The sequence below is a fragment of the Homo sapiens genome, chromosome 14 (genome assembly GCF_000001405.40).
Source record: "Homo sapiens chromosome 14, GRCh38.p14 Primary Assembly".
NCBI classification, from domain to species: domain Eukaryota; kingdom Metazoa; phylum Chordata; class Mammalia; order Primates; family Hominidae; genus Homo; species Homo sapiens.
The window spans coordinates 70,001,486-70,025,008 of record NC_000014.9 but is presented as its reverse complement, the minus strand read 5'-3'; the positions used below and the strand labels follow the sequence as shown (position 1 = coordinate 70,025,008).

Sequence of the window (23,523 nt, the reverse complement as noted above, 5' to 3'; positions counted from 1 at the left end):
TTGATCTCCAATCACCCACTTCTCTCCATTCCCCTTACCCTGCTGTGTTTTCATAACTTGGCCCTCCATCACTCTAGCCTGGACTGTGCCATGCCTCCTATTGGATGACCCTGCCTTGCTCATTTCCAATCCATGTCCCACCCTGAAACCAGAATACTTTTTAAAGAAAAACTGATACTATCAATTCTCTGAACGCCTTCAACAGCTTTCCACTACCCTTATAAAGTCTAAAGTCTTTCACCTGAATTTAAAAACTCTCCAACTTCACCTTGCCTCTTGTCACCACCCCTGCTCTTCCTACCACTGTTAAAATATTCATTTCAGTCACACAAACATCCTTCAGCTCATTGAAAACTGTTTCCTTGCCTCCAGAGCTTCACTCCTCATTTGCCTTGGCTTAGAACACTCTTCCCTCTCCTGACCTCTCTGCTTGGCCATCTCCTACTCATGTTTCCAGTAATGGGTTAGACCATGGGTTGGCAAATTTATCTGCAAGAGACTAAATAGTAAATATTTTAGGCTTTGTGGGCCATATACGGTCCCTCTTATATATTCTTCTTTCAAAAAAAACTTACAGCTCTTTACAAATGCAAAAATCATTCTTAGTTCACAGGCTGTACAAAAACAGGCCACAGACTAGATTGAGCATTCAGGCCATTGTTTGCTGAGCCCTGGTTTAGGCATCGCTTCCTTCAAAAGTTTTTCAAGGCTGTCTGTCCCTTAGAGTCTTGGGTGCCCCTATATATGTTGCTACAATGCTCTGCACTTGCCCTGCTGTGACAGAGCTTACTAGGTGTTCACCAGAATTCATGCTGCTCTCTTCTTGGGTTCCCTTCCCCTAGTGACTGAGTTCCAGCCAATGAATTATGACCAGGAATGTGTGTCATTTCCAGGGCTGGCCCATAAAACCCAGCCTTCCTAGTGACCGAGCTCTGGTCAGTGAAATACCAGCAGGAATGAGTGTCATTTCCAGGACTGGCCCATGAAACTCCCTCACATGCACTGCTTCATGTCTACTCCATCTGGTTGACTGAGGATGGAGATGACCCCCAGAGTAACCTTGGAAGCCACATGATGAAGATGGCAGAGTCACTCTCAGCCTGGATCCCAGAGTGACTGCATAGAGCAATCCCTGCCCCTACTCCTACCCCTACACACACACACACACACACACACACATACACACACTCACACACACACACACCCTACAACCTGCGACCATGCTGAACTATTATATGGGAAAGAAAAATTTTCCACTGTGTCAAGCCATGATGTATGGGTCTACTTGTGACTGTAGCCTGGCCCACCCTAGCACACTCTCACAGCATGTATCACAGCTCATGTGAGTGCTTATTTAAGCTCTGTCTTCTGTGCAAGGATAGGGACCTTATCAGTCAATTCCACCACTGTCTCAAACATCTAGCATGAAGCATAGCACACTTCCAGCAAATAATTGATGAATAGATGAGTATCTGGAATCTCATTTATCAGAGAGCCCTTGGTCCCATGCCTGGGTGGGGGCAAGTATTGAAAGGCCAGGAGCACAGGGGAGAGCACTCACCTTCTTTGCTAACACCCAGGCAGCCCTTCAGCTCAGGCAGTGAAATGACCTTGTCTTTGTTCAGGTCACAGTAGTCGGTGAAACGCCGGGCACATTTCTTGGGCTTGGCTTTCTTCTTCACGTAGCGCTTGAAGGGCTTCATCTCCCGCTTGTTAATGTCGTTGCTGCTATTGCTGTCCAGCTGGCTGAAATACCAGTGCACTACCCGCTCCTCCAGGGTGTGGCTGGGGTCTGGCTCTGAGAACCTGGGCCATGGACAAACACCCCCACCGCAGAGAACACCAATCAGGATCTTGCAGGAACCATCAGCCCTGGTATGACTGCCCCCAGAAAGTCAGGTAGAAACGGCTCCTCCAAGCCAAAGTCCACCCACAGCGGCTCAGCCTGTGGCAACGTTAAGCCATCCTCTCCGACTCAAATCCTAAGATTGGACCATTCTTTTCTCAGGACTCCCCAGGTGGGTAATCCTTATTACACAAACATGACTCACCCTCTACCAAAGCCAGAAATGTTCTTGTACATGATGGGTGCTCAAGACAAATTGGCTTGATCTAATTTGCTGAATAAACCAGAGCTGGAATCCAAATTGTCCCTCCCCTGGCCTAGCACTCACTGCGGACAAGCTGCTCATTACACGTAAACATGTGCCCTGTGGTGGACTGACTGTGGGGAAGGTGCTCTGAGCATCCACTGTACGCCCAGTGCCAGTCTGGGCCCTGGAGGGTGCACCCCTGGCCTCAAGTGGCTCACTGTCTCTATGAGACAGAGCCAAAAAGGTGAAAATAGTCATGACAACTGAATGTGGGGTGTGAGGTTCCCACGGTCCATCACTGCTGGACATCCAGTGCAGTGGGAATTGAGAGAAGAAAGCAACTGGGTCAGACACCAACAGAAGTTCCAAAACTGGAAAAGCCGGGACCTACTGGGGATGAGTCTCTCCAGCCTGAGGTTTTAGTCAGGGGATCTGGGGTGGACCCAGGAAACCATGTATTCACCAGCACTGCCAGGTGATTCTGCTGAGAAATGCTGGACTAGAGTCACCAAGAACACTTCCTGGCATCCAGAGGCAGAGTCACAAGCACATCTAACACAGCCCCTCATCAAGTTACAAGGCCAACATCTACGTCTACATGTGTAACTGTATGTAATGGCCTACTCATCTATGTTATTTACTTAACTGTCTCCTATTTTCTCCCAAAACGGAGTCAGGGTGATAACTACTATTTACAATTTTTAAAGCCAATAATGGGTCTATTACAGAGGGGCTGCCTGGGTTCACTAACGAGGAGAATGGAACCCCATGAGCCCCATGGCTCCTGTTCCCAGGGCTTGGCACTGAGTGACTGTGATCTAGGCCCTTGTGCAACTTCCCCTGGGGAAGGAGAAAAAGATTGATGTTGGGAGTCCCACACATTCACATCCTCAGTGTGCAGGGCGCTGGGACAGAGCACATGACTACCAGAGGTCAGAAGTGGGGCAGAGGGCTCACTGTTCCAGAGGGATCCTAGATCAGGGTCGAAGGCCTGTCTGCACATTCTGAAGCTGTTCCTGGTGGGGAAACTATTCAAGGCACTTGTCATGCCACCCTGACTTCTCTGGGGTTTGCTGAGTTTTCCAGAAGGGAGATAATCTCTGACCCCTCCCCTGTGAACAAGCCAGCAAACTCCCTCCTCTTCCACCCCACCAAGTAACGTCCAAGTTCAGGGAAAAAGAAGTTCCATTATGCGGGGGGAAAAAAAGCCAGTCATCCATCCCTGTTAGATGCCTATTCCTAATTAGCTGAATTTCAGTCTTGAGCAGGTAATCCGGGCATCCTGGACTGATTCCAGGAGGATGCAATTAGTGGATCTGCCAAGGGGACCTCATCGTGACAGGTTTAACTCAAAGAGTACCTGGCGGAAGGTGTGAGGGAGCCGTGGAGAGCTGCCAGCTGCCTCTAACTTTTAGGAAATCTGCTTAGTCTGTCATGGAAACCAGGCTCAGGAGGTCTTTGAAACAGGCATGAAGTTATTCACTGAAGAACTCAGATTTTGTCTCTGCCAGCATACACAGTATTCTGGTGTTTTCCATCTTTCCCTATTTTACCTGCAATATTCACTGTTAAGACGGCCCCTGCAGTGCATACCAGCTGCAAAGGCAGAAAATTTTGTTGGAATTCTATTGGTGCAGGTAGGGGAGTGACCTGCCTGTCCCTGCCTTTCCCCAAACAGCAGGGAGGACACAGGCTGTGGAGCAGAGACAGAAGGCCCCCAAGGAAGGAACTCAGTTCTCTCAAGCAATGAGGGAGGCAGTCAGGGACCTTCCTGCTCAGCCCCTCCTGCCAGGGAGCCATGAGAGTTCCAAGGCAAAGGCAGCTCTTCCTTTAACCTTTAGGCTCAGTATAGCGTAATGTCTACCTAGAGGCTGGAATAATAAAGCCTCAGTCACTGAGACGGGAAGGGATGAGGTCATCCCACCCAGAGGCCCTGCCAGGGGAGGCGCACTCCCTCCAACACGTGTTTCTGGGGCTCCCGCCTGTCCAGCTTTCAGCCACTCCATTGATAGAGCTCTGCCACCCTCCTTTGGGCTATTTTGCAGCAAGAAGCAGTTCTTCTTCTGACTTTACAACCTCCAAGAGTTTCCTTCCATGCCTGAGAGTGACCATCATCTGACTCCTGCCCCTTTCCCTGCCTTTCTTCTGATTTTCCCTTCCTGACATCTCCTTGCCAGAAGAACAACATTTTGACTCTCTTCACTCCCATCAAGGCCTCCCAGTGCAGGGCAGCCACGACTTCTGATTGCTGCCCCCCACCCTGCCTGGCTCCCAGCTGAGCCACTGGGCTGAGATGTGCAGCATTCACTTCCTCAGGAGAGATCCTCTGAGCCCCTCCAGGTAGTGCCTCTGGGCTCCCTCTAACACTGGCATGACTCACAGCCTGCCCTGTGAGGCCCGAGGGTCCTGTTGCCTTCCTTCCTCCTTCCCAGCTAGCATGATATTCTCTGCTTCTGAACTCCTTCGGCTGCCAAAACAACCCTCAAATCCCTAAATAAGAGAGCCCTACCTCTACCTGTAAGCTGGGTAGCCCTAGGGTCATCTTTGGAATCCAACACTTTGGCCAGGCCAAACTCCAAGTACATTAATAGCAGAAAATTTCAGCTTTGAGTCCATGAGGGATTGTGAACCCTCTGAGAGCCTACACAAAGATGTGAGCTCTCTCTCTAGAGAAATGGACATACACAGAGAAGTCTGCAGATTTCAGATTAATGGACTCCCTAAATCCATTCAAAGTCCATGGACTCAGGTTAAAAAAAAAAAAGACAAAAACAAAACAAAACAAAACCCTTGATCTAGAGGAATGGAGGCTCTAGCCATGGCCCAAGAAGAATATTTAAGCATGATGCTTAAAGAAGAAGATGGAGTCAGACAAAAGACAGTAGCTGGAAGGGTTTGGGGATAGTTTCCCTACTTCCAACAAAACTATTGAAGGCAATGGATTTAAAAACTCTGTAAATCAAGTTTCTGGCCTGGCAACAGCCTTAAGTCACAGATGAAGTTGACAGCAGGTACCCACTATGCTTTGTACAAGCTCTTGGCTAAGACTTAGATCCAGCAGGAGTCCTAGCATAGCAGTAAGTCTGTGCAAAAGAAGACCCAAGAGGCCTCTGTTAACTGAACAAAATCTGAGATTTTTCCTGGGGGAGTGCTGGATAGGCATGGAGCAGGGAGGCCTCCCCCAGAGCTTCAGGAATCTCTCAAGCAGTCTTTGCTGGAGACTTTCCATCACAGTTAGACCCCCTCAACCACAAAGCCATAGCCCAAGAAAGCCCAAAGCCTTGCCCCTTCCCCTCCCAGCTCCAGGATTACACTGGCCTCAGGCTCCCAACCTGTCTCACACAAGCACACATATATTCCACTGGAGGTCAGGACTGCCGAATTCAAAGCTGGTCATCAGGCAAAGGCTGGGGACCTAAGTTAGAGGGAGCAAGAGCTCCTTAGGATCAGTGTAACAGCACTCGCTTGTCCACACTGCAGACTTCTCCATGGGTAAAGTACTACTTCTACTAAAAGGGCTCACTGGGTAGGTACAATATCCAAGTTTCCTTGGATATGGTATGAAAAGACACACCCAAATGATACCAGATTCCAGATTTTAGAAGACTATGGTTCAGACAACATAAGCCAAATAACGTTGGTGTCTGCCCTACCTCTGGGCTGTTTTTGTGACTGTCCTGTTGACTTCTGCCTCCAGGGATGAGGAAACCCACTAGAGCCAAGTTCCTCCCCAAACTGGCCCCAAGGAGCCTTCTCCCAGTTTCAGAGGTGGCATAGGCTACACTTCTCCCACAGCACTTTCAGTTTTGCTTCTGCAGCCTCAGCCCCACCAGGCCTTGGCTGCAATGCACAGCTGGAGAGCCAGCTCCGTTTACCACAAGGAAACCTGCTTTGGCCAAGATCTCGGGCCCAGTTCTGCTGTCCTAAGCAGTTTTAGAGAAGGTAAGGCGGGACGGCCTGGAGGCACTAGCCAAGCCAAGCAGACCAACTGAGCCCCGTCTGGAGTTGGGTCCAGGCCCCGCCAGCTGTGCGGGTGCGGCTGGGAAATGCCAAGTCAGCCACATTCCAGCCTCTTCCTTGCAAAGCCATCAACAGGCAACCACACTGGGCAGGAAGGAGGAAGCCACAGTACAGTCTCCCCTCAGGGGACCACGTGAAGGGCCAAGAGGCTCACACAGCCCTTCCCACCTCCCCTCAAAGTTGACTTTCCCTGGGGGAGGGTGAAGCCAGGAGAGGGTTCCCCTGCTCTAGAAGACTCTGCCGGCTGAGATCTCAGAAATCTTCCTTTGGGACTGATAAATGCTAATGGGTGCTGTGGGAAGGCTGTTCTAAGGGGGAACACTGCCTCCTGGAGCCCTGGCCAGAGGGGCCAAAGGGATAACTCACTCACACAGAAAACATTCACCAAGAGGGACTATCATCCATTGATATTTGCAATGCACACCCTCCCACGCACCTGCCATAGAGTTTTCACAGACACCCCATTCTACTCTGCCTATTTTTAGATCTTTGTAGCACTGTTTTTTGCTAATAAATCAGGCCAGAAAAGGGAGTAGATGCCTCCCACTCTTCTACTCCCTGCATGTAGCAAGTCTTGAAATCCTATTGATTTCTTTACAAAAGCTTCAGCAAATCATCCCTTTCCCACGGTCCATGCCCTCATCACCCTTCATGCTGACACTTGCTATCGTCTTCCTGCCTGCCTTGCTCCCCTCCAATCCTGCTTCCATAGTGCCATCAGGATGACTCTGCAAAAATGCCCACCTAACCCTGCAGCTCCCTTCTGCCCTGCATCTTGACTCCCAGGGCCTGGCACCAGCTGGGCTCTGCTCAACTCTGCAGCCTCATCTCCTACCTGTCCCCAGCCTGACTCCCAAACATAAACCATACTACTTCTTACAATTCCTTCCACACTTCCTACCCTGTTCACACCTCACTACCCACATGGTCCCCTCTGCTGGAAGGCCCTTACCCCTGGTCCATCTAGGTCAGGCATTTTCCCACTCATAAGGGAAGATGGGGCTCCACTGTTGCTCCCATGGAAGGCCTTCCCTCACATGCTCTGGCTCCCCAGGGTCCCTGCAACACTTTCTCAGCCTCTATTATCCTACCGACTTTATACTGCAGTCATATGGTTGTTCTGTATCTCCCTTCCAGACCAGAAATGATCCCCTTTTCTTCAGATGCCCCAGAACCTAGCATGGAGCTCATACCAGGGGCGGGTTGAAACGTGAGAGCTGATGCAAAGCCAACATCTCCATGCCTGACAGGAAGTAGACTGGGAGGAAGGCACCTTTTTTCTGCACTGTCCAAACATCTTCTATCCCTTTTTCCCACTGTCCCCAAGTGAGACTGTTTCCCTGGCCCCAGCTGATGTCCAGCTTTAACTACTAGAGTCTGAGAGGATAAAGGAGGGATCAGATGCGGCTTCCTTAACCTCATGCCTGTAGCCCCAACTCTGCCTGAATTCCACAGCCAAGGCCAAAACTCAGAATGCCTGGATTTCCTAATTGTCTTCGTCAGTCCTGTTCCAGACATGCTACCTGACCTCCAGCTGCCTCATACCTCTGCTCCTCCATCAAACAAGAGGGACAACTGGCCAGGGTCTGTCTGCATGGCGCTCCAAGTCCCTGGGTCCTGGCCAGGGTACCCTCGGGCCCTGGTTACAAAATAGCACCACAGTAAACTTGACAGCTGGCTCCAGCCTTATACTTGGTCTTGTGGTGGTTGGTTGACCCTCTGATGTGTGCCAGAAAGAGGTCTTATCGAGACAGGGATCCATCCATCTATCCCCCGTCCCTCTAGCTATTTATTCATTTATCATATTTTACTGGGCACCTACTATGTTCCAGACACTAGTCTAAGCTCTGGGAATACAGGAGGGAAGAAGACAGAAAATGTTTCTTCTCTCATAGAACTTAAATTCTCCTTGGGTTTAGGGAGACAGATAATATATCAACAAGCCAGCAAAATATCAGACCGTGATATATGCTAGGCTGAGTTAAAAAGGGGTGCTGAGGTACAGGGTGAACAGGCAGCTCCTACAGATTGAGTGGTACTTGAGAAGGTGACATTTAAATAGATAAGCAGGGGCCAGTCATTGGAAGATGGGGAACTGAATTCTAGGAGCAACTGACATAGAGGTCCTGGAACAGGCAAGAGCTTGACTTGTTTGAGGAACCAGAACTGAGGAGAACCAGTACCTGGAACATAATGGTGGGAAGGAAAGGAATATGTGAGGAGAGGTGGGGCCGGCAAAGTTGTCCTGAAGGGCCAGCCCAGGTCAGAGTTAGGGCTTATGCTGAATACAGTGGGAAGATCTGGAACAGCCTTAAACCCTGTTACTACACTGGTAATCCTGACAGCTACCTTCCTGGATAGCAGTTTCTCTCTTTCTTCTCCCTTTCCCCACCCACTTCCTTGATTTCTAAACTATTTCTTGAAGCATCTTGTCTGTCTTTTGATTAAAGTCCATCCTCTAGGTAACATAACTACCAAAGGCAGTTCAAGTCTTCATTCCCATCAAAACCAAGTATGGTCAAGCTAATATGAGCTTAAAATGAAAAACATGTTTTGAAAACAATTTTTTTGAAAAACCTCTTCCAACTCTAAATGACGCTTAAAATAGAATGGAAAAAAGATCCTCTTCCCTAAGGACACACTGATATTAAAAAGTTATAAATTTCTCAGCTTTCATTGCCTGTAAAAATCCCTTCTGTCTGTCATTTGAGGATAAGGCACAAATCCTACCTTCCCCTGGCAGCAGGGCCCATCTGCGTCCCCCACCTGCGGCAGAGCCCACGCAGTGCTCTTGGGAAAGCAACCAAGAGGAGCTTGAAGTCCTGCCTCCTTAGGACTCAGGCAGAAGTGCAGGTGGGACCCCTGAGCTGGGGGGCAGTGCCAGGAGCCTGCAGGAAGGTGTAAGTGGGAAGACCCCAGACCAGAAACTTTTAAGCCCACGGACCTCCTTTTTTTTCCTTTTTCCCTTTTTCTCTCTCTTCTAAACATAAATATAAACATAAAACATAAATCTTTCATGCCTGTTTTTGCATGAAACAACAGGTATTTTTTTCATATTCTAAACACAAGTAACATCAAGGCCAACAATACTGCCTTTTCAAAATTCACCTTCTCCCCTCTTCTTGGAGATCTGGATGTGCTGTCCTCTCTATCTCGGAGACTGAGCAGCTGAGTGCCACAGGCCGCCTCCAGCAGCTCCCGTCTGTGGGCCTGTTGAACCCTGTCTTCATCTTTCTCAGACTTAGTGCTGTGCTCCTCCTGGAGGAGGCCTGGCCCCCACCCACAGGGGCGGCAGAAACAGAGCCACAGCCAGAAACCAGCCTCAGAGCTCACGGGACCATGGGGGGCTCCGGGCAAGCACCCCAACAAGCAGTTTCCAAGACGGGCAACCACTGCACTCACTTTTTTCTTTTTTCTTCTTTCGTTTTTTTTTTGTTGTTGTTGTTAATTTTATTGTGGTAAGAACATTAAACAGGAGATCTAGCCTGTTAACAAACATCTAAGTGTATAGCACCGTGCTGTTAACTATAAGGACAATGTTGGACAGCAGATCTCTGGGACTCATTCATCTTGCTTTGCTGAAACTTGACACCCATTGGTTAGCAACTCCCCAAACCCCTGGCAACCACCATTCTGCTCTCTGCTTCTACATGTCTAACTGTTTCAGGTACCTCATGTACGTGGAATCATGCAGCATTTGTGCTTGTGACTGGCTCATTTCACATAGCATAATGCCCCCAATATAACAGGATTTCTCTCTCTTTTAAGACTGAATATTACTCCACTGTATACAAATACCGCATGTTCTTTATCTAGTCATCCATTGATGGGCATTGAGGTTGTTTCCATATCTTGGCTATTGTGTGCACTCACTTTGATTTGATATAAAATTGGGTTTTCAAAATGGCTGCCTTCTTCTGCCTCAGGATGCAGAAACGTCGACAGCTCCACTTGGAGCCCTAAACTCCTACCCTAAACACATACCACATGGTCCTGCCAATCACCACTGAGGGAGCTATGCTGGGGTCCTTCCAAGGCCTAGGCTTGTTCTCTTTGTGGCATTCCTTGCCTTATGGATAACAGCTCTGCCTCTGGGCAGATGCCGGGGGACTAACGCTCCCTCCTCAGTGAGCCATATAAGTTCAGAGCAGGCTGCCCATCCCTGCCAAGCCTAGAGTACCTCCCCTCCTGCTGTAAGGAGCCTAGACACTACCACACTTGTCTCCAACAGTCTCTGCTGTGCTTCCCCTTCTGGCTTCATGAGCATGAGCAGAAGTCTTACTCAGCATGTCTCACAGGACTTTCGGGATCTGAGTCCTGCCCACCTCTTCCATCTCACGATTACCACTCTTACCTCCTCTGCTTCCTCCTCCTCCGCCTATCCACCCCAGCCCAAGCTAACTGAACCACAGACATGCACTTTCTTGGAGCCACAGTATCCTTTCCTTCTCTCTGGAATGGCTTTCTCTTTTCTTTATCTACCTATCTTTTCTTTGATAGGTAGATAAGTCCTACCCATTCTTTAAAACTCAGCTCAGATATCACCTTCTCCAGGAAGCCTGCTCTGACTCCTCCAGACTGAGTGAGACAACCATTCTCCATTCTTCCACCTCTGTCCTAGCACTCACCACAGATTTTGTAAGTATCTATCTATGGTCTAGTATCCCCGCTAAGCTGCATCCTTTGAAGGTGGGACATGCCTCTATCCCCAGATACCTCATCCTTAGCCCAGTGTTTGCTGTGTTTTCCATGTTCAAAAGGTGGTAAGCGGATGGATGAATGCGTGCATGCATCTCCAACCGACTGGCCTAATGGGCCCAAACTCATGAGTGCCAGCAATGCTGGTTACTGGGGAGCATGTGCATTTCAGCCTCACATCAGGACTGCCTCAGCTACCACCTCAATTCCTGACCTGAGCTGTATTTGGCTATATGAGTGTCCAGTTCCATTGCCAAGAGCTCCTTGGAATTCTCAGGATGCCAAAAAGGCATTTGGTTCCTGCCTTCTAGGAGAGAAGAAAATTGCAAAGTGCTTTGTGCTCCCTCTCTGCCTCCCTGTTCCCATGATATAACCATCACCCTTCCTGCCATTCAGAACTCTCACTCCAACCCATCACCTTCTGAGATTAAACAGCTGGAAGTCCCAGACAGCCCTGGACTTTCCTATAAATCAGGTAACTAAAAGCTAGGGACAAGCAGCTCCCAAAGAATAGGGAAGGTAGAGGGGCAGGAAGATTTTTGACAGAAGGCGGGTCAAAGCTATGGGTACATGGTTTCAGGAAAAAGATCAACTTCCAGCCCTTGCCCTCCTCAAACCCTGCCCACTCTCTCACCCTCCCTCAGCATTTGAAAAGTCAGGGGCCCCACATTTTTCTCCTGGGCCTGATTCCTGCTCACAATCTCACCTCCCACCTCCAGTGGGCGCTGCTGAGTTAATGGCCTGAACCATGTCAGTGGTGAGAGCATCCAGTAGGCTGGTGATAAACTCCATTTTCTTCCCTTCTGGACAGCCTAAAAGATAAAATGAGATTTGAAGGTAGATGCCAGATAATAATCAAGTCAACAGCTTTCTCAACTACCATCCTTTCCTAAACTTCTCAAAGCCCTTCTTGTCCAGCCAAATCCACTTTAGTGATTTGTTTACTGATCAGATGAGTCTCATAAACTTCCATAGTTCCTTTACCCATACCCCACAAAGGACCATCAGACCAAATAATGCTTTCAATTTTCTTCCATTCCACACATTTTTGCTAGACATCAACTCAGGCACCATGTTAAACGCTAGAGATACAGAGTTAACAATACAGAAGGTCCTTATCCTTGTAAAGTTCACATCTACAGGGGAACTCAAGCTAATAGCCAAGCAGTCGTCCTAAAGTGAGAAAAATACTGTGCTAGGGGTAAGAACTAGGGGCTGTGGGAGCACAAAGGAGGGAGAGAACCCCCAGTGGTCAAAGTTGACTTAAGTACACCTACCACCAGATCCATCCAAGAGCCTCCTCCTTTTTTCACTTCCCTCCTCAACCATCTTACATTATAACTACAGCATCTCTCTTGTAAATACTCCCAAGTCCTTGTTCCTTTTTTCCTCCTTGTATTATTCCAGGAAAACACAGTAAAGCACAGAAGAACCTTCTATAGATGTGCCTTTTCCATGTCTACACCACGTAGCTGGGGAAAACACCACCACACAACTGGATAAATGGGTGTCCTATAAAGTCACGATCACCAGCACCAAATGGGCCCTCTACACTACTCCCAGTGCTCCTCTCCAAAGCAACTCCACATAGAAATTAGCAACTAGCTCATTCTCTTCTGTCCCCAAATCCTCCAGGTCTCAGGTTCAACACTTGCTTCTCAGAGAAGCTGTGGAATCTAAAGCAGGTTCTCCCTGCCATTCTCACAGCATGTTCCGCTTTTCCCTCAGAGTACCCACCACAACTATCTATAAATGCCTGTATTCATTTATTCATATCCAATCTGTCTCCTCCACTCTGTAAGTCTCATGTCAACTTTGACCACTAGATTATACCCAGTGCCTGGCACATAGTAGAATCTCAATTCACATTTGTTGAGGGGTTAGCTAAAAGGGGTACCCTGGCCACCATGACTCCATTCTTGTGATGGGGTGATTTCTACAAACCTCGTGTGGAAAATCCCTGACTCTTAGAACTCTCTGCTTTCAGTTCTCACTTGGAGTCCTGATAGGTCATGGGAAGGTGGCCCATTTCCCACCAGCACTAATCTGACTTTGTGCTGTGTAAAGACAATAAGATTCCAAGCCACCAATATTTAGTAATGTTACTGTAACTTGCAGGCAGAGATTGCTATAAATAAGGGGAAACCCGCACATCAGCCATTTGGAGGTACCAGGGCCCTGCCTATGTGTCTTGTGTCACACTCCATGGTCGTCCTGTGTCACCAGGGGTCATCTGCCTCTTCAGAGCAAGCAACAGACACTGTCCACATCGCTCAGGACAGCCCCTCCCTATAAGCTATCTTATCCTCACAGCTCTGGAAAAAATAACTCACAGTGCTCAAAACATTGTCCTCATGGACCTCAGATGGACAACGCATTGTGGAACTGCAGACGGGATTTTAACCCGATGACTGCATTATAAAGACGAAGAGGCACAAGGAAGAGAAGCAATGTGCACAAGAGCAGAGCTAATTAGGGATAAATCCCAGACCAGGATGTAGATCCCACGGCTCCTGGCTCCATCTTACACATGGGGAAACAGACAAAGAGGAGACAGCTTCTTCTGCATAATGAGAGGGTGGAGGAACAGAAGGAGGTGATGGCGCCGGCAGGGCAGCATCGTCTCCCACCTGGTAGCTCCCTGTCCTTGAAGGGGTCATCCGCCTCTGTAGTCTTGGCCCTGGCGTCGCTCTCACAACTGGGCATCACGTAGCTGGGAAAAGAGAGATATGGGGGGGGTTGGGAGGGGCTGGCAACTGAGCCTACTTCAGTCACTACTGCCCAGCAATGATCTATGTTGTCACCAAGCCTAAAGCACTGAGGGTGGGCAGAACGATATCTCTTGCGCTGCCCGGCAGCTACAAGGCAATCTTAGCATCAATGTTCCCACTGAGACATGTTCAGGCATGTCATTTCAACCACTCAAGCATAATAACAATGATACTTGAGCTGCACGCAGTATCTTTTTTGATCCATGGAAGCTAGTGGCTTAGAAAGGGCAATAATCTCATCAGGAAACTGACGTTCAGAGAGGTTAAGTACTGTTCCAAGGTCTTAAGTTAGAAAGAGACAGGCCTGTGACCAGAATCCAGGTCCCAGGGTCTTTCTACCTGAAACTCTTCTACTCATTGAAAACATGGCTCTCCCAGGCACTCATCTCCCACCAGACCAGGGCAGGAACACTGGGAGATGCCAGCATGGATAACAGCCAGCAGGTGCGTTTTTCCCAGGACCCAGTCTGGGGGGCTTACCGTGTGGAGGTCCCAGGCAGCGGGCGCCCTGTGTCCACCAGCACACACCAGCAGTAGCCAGTGGACTGGTGGCATTGCACTGGCTTATAGAGTCCCCCAGGGGCACATTCAGGGATGACAATACCCTCACGGGGATTCTGCTGGGCCTCTTCCAGGGCACTCTGCCTCTCCTGGTCACACGAATAGACTTTCTCTGCAAGAGAAGACACAGCCTGTGGTGACTATCACTCCTGTGATTTAACACTCCTGTCTTCTGTGCCCAGCATCCAAAGTAAGTAGCAAGGACCAGGCCTGGACCCAGGAACTGATGAGCTGCCCCATTGATGAATTACCACAGAGAGCTGTCTCCCATGCCAGCGCATGCTGAGGGGCCTGGAGGTTCAGAACCTCCCTGTGGCCATCTCTGCTGCCAGCATTCATTAGCATTCCCACCAAATAGGTTCAACTGCAGCAACAAGCCAGCCAGGGACTCCAGGGATGCCCCTTCTCAGAGTGGCAGCTTGTCCCAAGGGTGGAATATCTCAATGTTTTCAGAGTGGCTCCTGCTGATGTTCTGTCTGTGGACTGCAGGAGAGGTGGGTGCAGGAGCCTGGCTATGCTGCAGGCTGATGCAGGAATGCTTGTGCATGTAGACCCTTCCACGCCCAGACACAGCATGATGGAGCCGTGGCCATCAGCCTCATGTGGAGTGATGCTCGGCACCCAGGAGGAGCAGAAACAAGGTCCAGCCTTGGCTTCTCCCCACCCTCCAAGGCTGCTGGACAAAGTAGGCCGAGTGAATTTCAGTGAATTACACAATGCTGCTTCCATCCAATTGGAGAGAAAACAGGCCCAGCCGGATGGTGTCTGCACTCAGCAGCCTCAGTAACACATGAGCATGTCTGAACAGCCCAACCTGGTTTCCCCCGAGCCAGTCCCCGGCTGAGACAGAGCGTGGTGCCCTGTGTCCAGCATGGCCAGCTCCAGGGCATCTCACATCTGCACAGCCACTTACCTGAAAATTCTTCCCAATCAACCACTTAGCCTGCCTGGCTTTGCTCTTTGTCTTTTTTTTTCTGGTTTTGTTTTTGTTCTAATTATTAAAAATAAATAGTGTTGGGTTTCTTATTATAAAGAAGTTTTAAAAAAGAAAGTGGAAAAACCTATAATCCTGCCAAAGTTAAACACTGTACCTTCCCTAGATTTTATGTACATACATACATGGAAATACACGTGCACACATCTACTTTTTTGATAACAAAAGAATCACATCATAAACCTGTACTATTACTTTATTTTTCATTTACTTGTTTATTTACCTACTATATTTTTTTCATACCACTATTCTACAACTCTTCTCTTGAAGAAATTGACAGGAATGTAGTCTTGGGCACCCACTGAATGTTTACAGATTGTTACAAAAATACCCTTCTTAAGAGCAAGGAACTTGGTATCAGCAACCTGGAGAACCATGTTGTGCACTGAACAACAGCACTCAACTCCACTTTAAAGAAGCCAACTTCCTTGAAATAATGGCTCTGTTAATGACACACATATAGGTAAAGCACGCATGTTTAAACAAACCATAGGAGTACACAGAGACACAAAGTAGCTCAATGCAGTTTTACAGATAAGTCAGATGATAGAAAAACAATGCTATGTCTCACTGCTAGGAAAATGCTCGAAAACAATAGCCTGGTGATTCTCATTGCAGGGTAAAAATATTTCCTTAGGGGCATAAAAATATCTGAGGGCCAGGAGGCAGGCACATATAGCATATTCACTATTAAAATAGAAAATGTTGTTTTGAATTTGGGAAGTGAAAAAAAACTACTGTTTTCATAATGCAAATATAGAAAAGCTAAACAGAGTCTCCTTGGCTAGAGGAAGAGGAGTTTAAAACAGCTGACAGACATCAGACTTGGGTTTTGCCTCCAACTGTGACTACCACCAGAACAGCATCTAGAGACAGGAAAGAGACAGAAACTGAGCAGGGAGAGGGGCCTTGGGAAACCTGCTTTAAAGATCCAGCATTTTGACTTCAGCCCCTGGCTGGGAAGGTGCCATGGCAACTTCAAGGGGATTATGCAAGAATTTTTCAATAGCTCCCCCAACCCCAATTTGGTAGCCTTATTTTCCTACCTCGTATTTCATGCCATGAAAGAGGCAATAGAGGAGCAAAACCAAAGGAAAACAGCTTTTTACTGACACCACGTTCATGTAACAACCTCTGACAGAGGATTTAAATTAAGACTCTCCAGGCCAACCTTCTAAAGCCATAAATCAGACCGAAAGCAAGAGGCAAAGAGAGAAGGGGGGCGCTTCCCCAGGGGCAGAGCAAATAATGAACCTGACTTCACACCACTGGGGGTCCCGAGACCCTCAGAAATGTGGACAGAAGCCATCTAAGAAGAGGCACAGACTCGTGGCTTGGGCCCTGTTGATGGATTTCTGGAAGTCCTTGAAGGCTGTTCTGAGCTGTTTATAGTCAGTGTCTATGAAGTTCCATGGAGAATAAAATCATTAAAATGCCAGGCTCAGTGGCTCATGCCTATAATCCCAGCATTTGGAAAGGCTGAGGCAGGCAGATTGCTTACCCCAGGAGTTTGAGACCAGCCTGGGTAACATAGCAAGACTATGTCTTTACAAAAATAAATAAATAAATACAAAAAGTAGCCAGTGTGATAGCACATGCCTGTAGTCCCAGTTACCCAGGAGGCTGAGGTGAGAGGGCCACCTGAGTCCAGGAGGTTGAGGCTGCAGTGAGCCATGATCACGCCACTGCACTACAGCCTGGCCCACAGAGTAAGAACCTGTCTCAATAAAATAAAATAAAATAAAATAAAATAATAAAAATGATAAAGCTCACTAATTTGGAAAAATGGGGGATAGCAAAAGAATTTTTTAAAAGCCTGACTGCAAGGTTTATTACTTTTTTATTTTATTATTTTTATTATTGATTTACTACTTCATTACAGTATCTGCAAGTCCAGGTGCCTCTAAGAAAGAGACAGGAGTGATTTATCATAATAGCACTAACCCTCTGTGAAGAGTACACAGAGAGTTTGTCTTACAGCAAAGAGAAAATCTCCCTTAAAATCATCTTTACAACTAATAACAAGAAAAACAAACATTCATTGAGTGATATGTGCCAGGCAATAGACTAAGGGCTTTACCTAATGAATCCCTTTGCCCATGTGAGGTAGGCACTATTATTACGCCCATTTTGTAGACAAGGAAGCTGAACGTTGGAGAGATTAATGGATTTTCCCAAGTTCACTCAGCCAGGAGAGAGAAAGGCTGGGGATCCTGACAGTCAGGCTTGACTTGCTAACCTCTAGACAGTGTTGCCTCTAACCATTTGCTCTAGGAGACAAATAAATTTATTTTTACAGTGAGCTCTTCTATGTCAGTGTCTTTGCAGACTATCCCAAATCTGCTGCATTCAAAATCAAATGTGCTGGACACAGCACAGCTCCTTCTGACCAATGATGTCTTCTCGACCTAAGCACGCTACAAATCTTGTACCTGGATATTTTTCTCTCTTTGCCTCAGAAGCGGAAAACTTAAAACCAAATTTAACTCATCCACCATTGCAGAACTCTAAAATGAATAACAATAGCTAACATCTATTTGAGTATTTACCATGGGCCAGACTTGGAATTAGGTGCACTATGTGTATTAACTCACTTCAAACTCATTACAAGCCTTTAAGGGCAGTGTTGTTATCCTCATTGAACAGAAAAGGATGCAGAAACACAGACTGGTTGAGAAATTGGATGATCATAGAACTAGGAAGTGGCAGAGCTGACATTTCAGCACTGGCTGGGTGCTTCACCTCTGCAAGATCATCTTCTTGCCACAGGCTAATCTGATTTTTATCCTAACCTATATTTTTCTTTTACTCACTATAGGTCATCTCATTACAAAACAGTCCCCAATGAACTGTGCCTCCCCGTGATCATGGCCTTGTGTGGACCCCTCCACGTGGACTCTGGTTTGCTTTGGCCAATAGAATGTTAGAGGCAATGCTGATGTTTTGTGTCAGGCCGAGGCCTCAAGAGGACTTGCAGCTCTCGCTTTCACTTTTGTGGAAGCTGCCCTAAGATCATCACAAGGAAGCTGGTCTCGCCTACTGGAGAACAAGAGGCCACAGTGAGGAAAGGGGAGCAGCTCAGGTCACAGCGAGTACCAACTGCAGATGTGAGAGGGAGGTCACCTTGTACATTCCAGCCCAGCTGATCCTCCCCTACCTGGATGAGTCCAGGATTAAATTCAGGCAAAACAAGTATCCGGCCAACCCACAGACACATTAGAAAGAATTAATTATTTTTATGGTAAGCCAGTACATTTCGGAGCAGTCTGTTACACAGCAGCAGATAACTGAAACATCTAGACCTCCTTAACTATTCATCAATTTACCCTGTACGTATTTTTGTAGCCCTGTAAGCCCTTCAGTCAACCAATCAATTATTCTTGAAGGGCTTCTCTAGAGGTTATGGGTCATGCATATGCTAATCAGTAAGTACCACAGGGCATAAGCTTATTCCATATCTGAGGACCCAAATTTGTAACTCATCCACCATTGCAGAACTCTAAAATGAATAACAATAGCTAACATTTATTTGAGTATTTACCATGTGCCAGACTTGGTACTGGGCAGTTTGCTTGTATTAACTCACTTCAAACTCAAACAAGCCTCTAAAATAGTGTTCTTCTTATCCTCACTGAATAGAAGAAGGTGCAGAAACACAGACTGGCAGAGTCATTGGATCAAGATCACAGAACTAGGAAGTGGCGGACCCAAAAAGCCAGACCACCCATGGGGCCACTATCATCCTCTTTCCTTCTCAGTTACCTAAATCCCAAATGGGTCTTAAAATTCACATCTATCAGTTTTCTTAGGTACCAAGAAGTCCCCTTCCAGAATGCAAGACAGGGGGCCTATTTTGTGGGTCTCTTCATGATCATGGGTTCAGAGAGGGAGCTCCCCAGAAGTGAACACACACTATTCTAAAATAATCTGTGCTCAGGAACACTCAGGGAAAGATGACAAGATTAGAAGGTCTGGCCAGGTATCTATGAGAATGGGCCAGGACCATCTGTAAACACCTGGAAGCCATAAACGGAAGGGGAGAGGGAACAATCAGGGCTGTCCAGGGGGGCATGGAAATGCATGGCCACACATACACACTCACACGCCCGCCCCTATAATCCTGTCCCTCAGATGGTGCAGAGAAGAAGTGAGAGTCAGGTCATTCCGCACTTGGCAATGAGTGGTTAAAGTTTCACTGACAAACCTCTGACTGCCTAAGAGAAGAAACACAATAGAAAAAACATCCAAGCAAACTGTCCAGTACCTAGTCTGGCACATGGTAAATACTCAGATAGAAGTGAAACCATGTCCACCCCTTGTCACCAGAAGGCACACAACCCTGTCCACCACTAATTGCACATAGCAAAGAAGGACCAAAGTCCAGCAGGAGTGGGCAGGGCAGGAGACAGGAGAGGAAAAAAGAGGTTGGACCAGACAAACATGAACCCTGTCTCCAGGCCCAGGGCACGGGTTCTTTCACATCCCACCAAGAGAGGATAAGCCTGGAGCACAGCTCTGTCGGCTAGGACTAGCCCAGGCCTCTGTGCCTCTCAATTACTCATGGTGATTAGGAACAAAGGAAAGCATGGATAACCTAAATCCTCAGCTAATCCCCAGACTTGATTTTAGCCCAGAGTTTAGTCTTTTATCCCAGAAACCTTTTCTTCTTCATCATCTTTTTCCTTTCTCTTCTTTTTTTGTTTAAAGCAAAAATGGCCAAAAAACATAAACATTACAAGATTTGAGTTTCAGATCTTTGGGCTGGCCTTTCTTTCTAGACACTGCCTTCCAGAGGAGGAACTGCTGAAGAAAGGAGCAGACAGAAAAGCTGAGATCCTGGGTAACCCAACACCAAAGCACCTTCTGCACATGCAGTCAGCAGTTATTGGTAGACCAGCTATGCTGTAAGCTTTTTGGAGAAAGAACATGGGAACCTCATGGTGATGGAGGAAGTGGAGGTCAAAGGGGGAGACGGGTGGAGAGAGCAGACAGTAGACAGAGAAGGTCTGTGTCACTCAGGGTTCTGCAGAGAAAGAGAACCAACAGAAGACAGAGACAGGCGTATATGTATGTGTGTATGTATCTTTATATCTATTTGTTTTGGAAGGGCTAGCACAGGGACAAGTGCTAGATATCTACAGATTATAGATACACACACATATACATAAAGAGAGAGAGAGAGAGTGATATTTTAAGGAATTGGCTATGTAATTATAGGGGCTGGCAAATCTAAAATATGTTGGGCAGGCCAATAGGCTAGAAATTCAGGTAAGAGTGATGGGGCAGTCTTGAGTCCAATATCAATAGGTCAGGTCAGCAGACTGGAAACTCAAGAAGGATTTCCATGTTACAGTCTGGAGAGGGAATTCCTTCTTTTTGGGGAAACCTCAGTCTTTGCTCTTAAGCCCTTCCACTGATTGGATGGGACCCACCCACATTATGAAGGGCAACCTGTTTTATCTGAAGTCAATTGACTGTAAATGTTGACCACATCCACAAAATACCTTCACACCAATATCTAGATGAGTGTTTGGCCAAACAACTGGGCAGGATGGCCTAGCCAAATTGACCTATAATATGAAGCATCGTAAAGTCCATCTGAAAAATAAGTGCAAGAAAAAAGGCTAATCTTACAGAGAACCATACGCGGAAGAACTGAAGAAGAGCCACAAGCCATGAAAACATGGACTGGGAAGATGCCTTGATGAATGATGCAGTCTTCCTGGAGAAAGAATCAGAAGCTCTCCCAGTGGAGGCTCGTTTGGTAACCAAGGTGCCTACTCTGGCCATCCAGACAGGGAGTTCCTTACACTACAGAAAAAGTAAGCTGACATGGTCCTGAGAGAGGAGGACCTAAAGCAGGATCCTGAGTAGAAAATGAGATTAGGGCCCAGGAAGAGGACACAAAAAAGGACTGGGACCTTGTAGACCCAGGTTATCACCCAGGATATTACTGGTTGTATATGTACTGGGTGCTGGCATCATGTCAGGTGCTGGAGAGGCCAGAAAAATCCTCTAAGATGTAGCAAGCAGAAAGAATAAACCATGAGATCTTTGCCTACCCTCATTCTAGGCCATCCTCCATCCCTGAAGCTTTCCCTGAGGCCCTGCCTGGAACAAGGCTAGAAGCAGTGGAGGATCTGCCCTCGTGGGCCCCTTGTCCTCGGTACCCTGACTTCACTGGATGCAAGTTCCTGGAAACTAGGGCTCTGCACATCCTTCCTGAGCCTTCACCACACCCGTCTCTGGTGGCCATAGGAGAGCCATGGAATCTCTGGTGTAAAAGATTCATAAAGGGTACTTGGTCCAAGAACCCTTCTATTGCTTGAGTCCCCATTATGTCACCCCTCTCACAGAATTCTAGTCTGACACTTCAGAGATGGGGCTGCCCACTGTTGAATAAACCGTAGGGATGAGACCACAGAGGCTGCAAAAAGAATATCTATCCCTTTGACACATCCTGGGAAATGCTACACTCAACCCTCAGACCATCAAGCACTGGATTTTCTTGGGGGAAAAATCAATTAAAATGTTACCCAGACTGAAAAATGAGAGGCACTTACTTGGGTTTCATTGCAAAAGGAGTTGTCCCACTGAGCCAAGAATATTAAAGAAAAAATTAGCATTGTATCACCTACAGTGACCCTGAAACCCCATCAAATACTTCACACCCACCTAGTCTCTTATCAAAAATGAATGAAATGCTGAAAGATAACCCAAAATATCAAACTGTGTGTTGAAAACAACCTTTCTAAATTACAACATGAAATTCCAGAGGCATAAGAAACCACATGGCTCCAGCCTCAGGATTCTCTAGGTCAGCGTGCGAGCATGTGAGAGTGTGGTGTCGGGAGTGTTCCAGAACTGTAGGGTGGCTGAGAATTTGGCAGAGGAAGGCACTGCAGGAGTAAAAGAGAGAAAGATAGGACCAGGTTGTAAGGAACTGACTTTGCTGTTTCAGAAGGATTAGCACAGGGACTAGATGTGGTGCCCCAGGGAAGGGTTGCTGCACTCCATGATTTATGGGACATCACTGAGCAGGCCCTTGCTGTTTATTTAGCCACAGGGGGTTTTAGCACCTATGGTTTCAAGCCAACTATGTGAACAGGTTATTTTTCTTACTTGTGGACTTTGCACTTTTTCACAGGAGGGGCTAAGTGGCCCCCAGAGGATCATTTTTCCAAGCACCATTTGCTGGGCCGACTCTGCCCTGCTACCATGGCTTTCCATCACGCACACCACTCAGTGCCACTTGGCCATCGCCAATTCCCAATTCCCAATTTCTCAACATCTATGTGACTCAGAGTTATGCAGGGGCTCTGGGAGCCCCTGATGAGGGGGAGAGCCCACAGAACCATTGCTCAGGGCTCCTTTCCAAATAGAGGGTAGACAACTGGCCCAGAAAAGGAAAGGCTCTACCAGGGCAAGGAAAAAGCAAACATCGCTGGCAAACAGAACAAAGTCAGCCACCGAAATTGTGCTCAGGTTTGTATCAGGTAGAGGGAGGGTATGGGGAGAATAGAAACAGAATTTGCACGAATTAAAGTCACACTTCTGTTGGCATGGGTTTTTCCATCCCCTTTAAGCTAAAAAGCCCTTTCCCCCACAGAATAGGCAGCAAAAGAAAGCAAAAATCTAACATCATCCCTCAATTGTAACCTACAAAGGGACCCGGGAGGACCCCCTGGAGGGAGCACCTTTCTAATTAACTCACTGGCCAAGAGAAGAACTGTCTCCAGCTCCAGCCCAGATGGAGATGTGAGGATGGTCTAAAAGCTCAACTGCCAGAGAGAACTCAGGGCGGTCAGAGGGAACTAGAGGTAGGGGATGAGGGAATACTAGGGCTTCCTTGGCAAGGCTAAAAGCAGTAGTAAGTGCCTATCACTCCTCCTGCATACTCCTATCGAAGGGTCTGGCATGTTAGGAGGTTCTGAAGTCAGCAACAGTTGGAATAGAGGCAATATAGGCAGTCAAGAGCATGGGCTTTGTGGTCAATGATTCAGGCTCTACCCCTTGTTTTCTCTGTGACCTTGGCCAGTTCAGGTTCCTTACGTGTAAAAGTAAGGTAACTCTTGCACATGCCTCACAGGGTCATTGTGAAGATTAAATGCAATCGTGTGTGAAAAACATTAAACCTGGTGGCACAGTAAGTTGCTAAATGGTAGCTACTATTCCTATTAGCTTGTCTAAGGTAGCATTGTGGAGCAAACATGGTCTTCCTGCCCTATCCCTGTGAATGACCCGTCTCCTCAACAGGACTCCAGTAGCTGACCAAGGGCAGGGGAATGGAGCAGTATGCTCCAGAGGCAGGCAATAAAGGGGTATTAGGTCTGTAGGTAAACTAAAAAAAATATGCACATATAGCTAAGAGTCTATCTGCTTTTTA

The 23,523-nt window shown here is 47.4% G+C and overlaps 1 protein-coding gene across 4 annotated transcripts in view, besides 3 other annotated features; it reads right to left on the bottom strand.

Moving 5' to 3' along the window:
* The window catches only part of SMOC1 (SPARC related modular calcium binding 1), a 152,951-nt gene that overhangs the window by 7,358 nt on the left and 122,070 nt on the right, over positions 1-23,523 (bottom strand). For all 4 annotated transcript variants that reach the window (NM_001425244.1, NM_001425245.1, NM_001034852.3 and 1 more), the window contains exons 8-11: positions 14,063-14,255; positions 13,442-13,524; positions 11,518-11,623; positions 1,562-1,806 (exon numbers count right to left, since the gene is read on the bottom strand). In NM_001425244.1, the coding sequence (NP_001412173.1) occupies positions 1,562-1,806; positions 11,518-11,623; positions 13,442-13,524; positions 14,063-14,255 (627 nt within the window). The remainder of the gene's footprint in view (positions 1-1,561; positions 1,807-11,517; positions 11,624-13,441; positions 13,525-14,062; positions 14,256-23,523) is intronic.
* Positions 3,903-4,197: an enhancer, noted in NCBI's record as "tiled region #14883; HepG2 Activating non-DNase unmatched - State 15:Elon, and K562 Activating non-DNase unmatched - State 24:Quies". NCBI's record gives its function as "activates a minimal TATA promoter and a strong SV40 promoter by Sharpr-MPRA in HepG2 cells, with weaker activity in K562 cells {active_cell/tissue: HepG2 | K562}" and the evidence as "EXISTENCE:reporter gene assay evidence [ECO:0000049][PMID:27701403]".
* Positions 13,197-14,396: an enhancer, noted in NCBI's record as "MED14-independent group 3 enhancer chr14:70477330-70478529 (GRCh37/hg19 assembly coordinates)". NCBI's record gives its function as "activates an origin of replication core promoter dependent on BRD2, BRD4, P300/CBP and CDK7 cofactors, and independent of MED14, by STARR-seq in HCT116 cells {active_cell/tissue: HCT116}" and the evidence as "EXISTENCE:reporter gene assay evidence [ECO:0000049][PMID:35650434]".
* Positions 15,764-15,843: an enhancer, noted in NCBI's record as "active region_8650". NCBI's record gives its function as "activates an Ori minimal core promoter by ATAC-STARR-seq in GM12878 lymphoblastoid cells {active_cell/tissue: GM12878}" and the evidence as "EXISTENCE:reporter gene assay evidence [ECO:0000049][PMID:35858748]".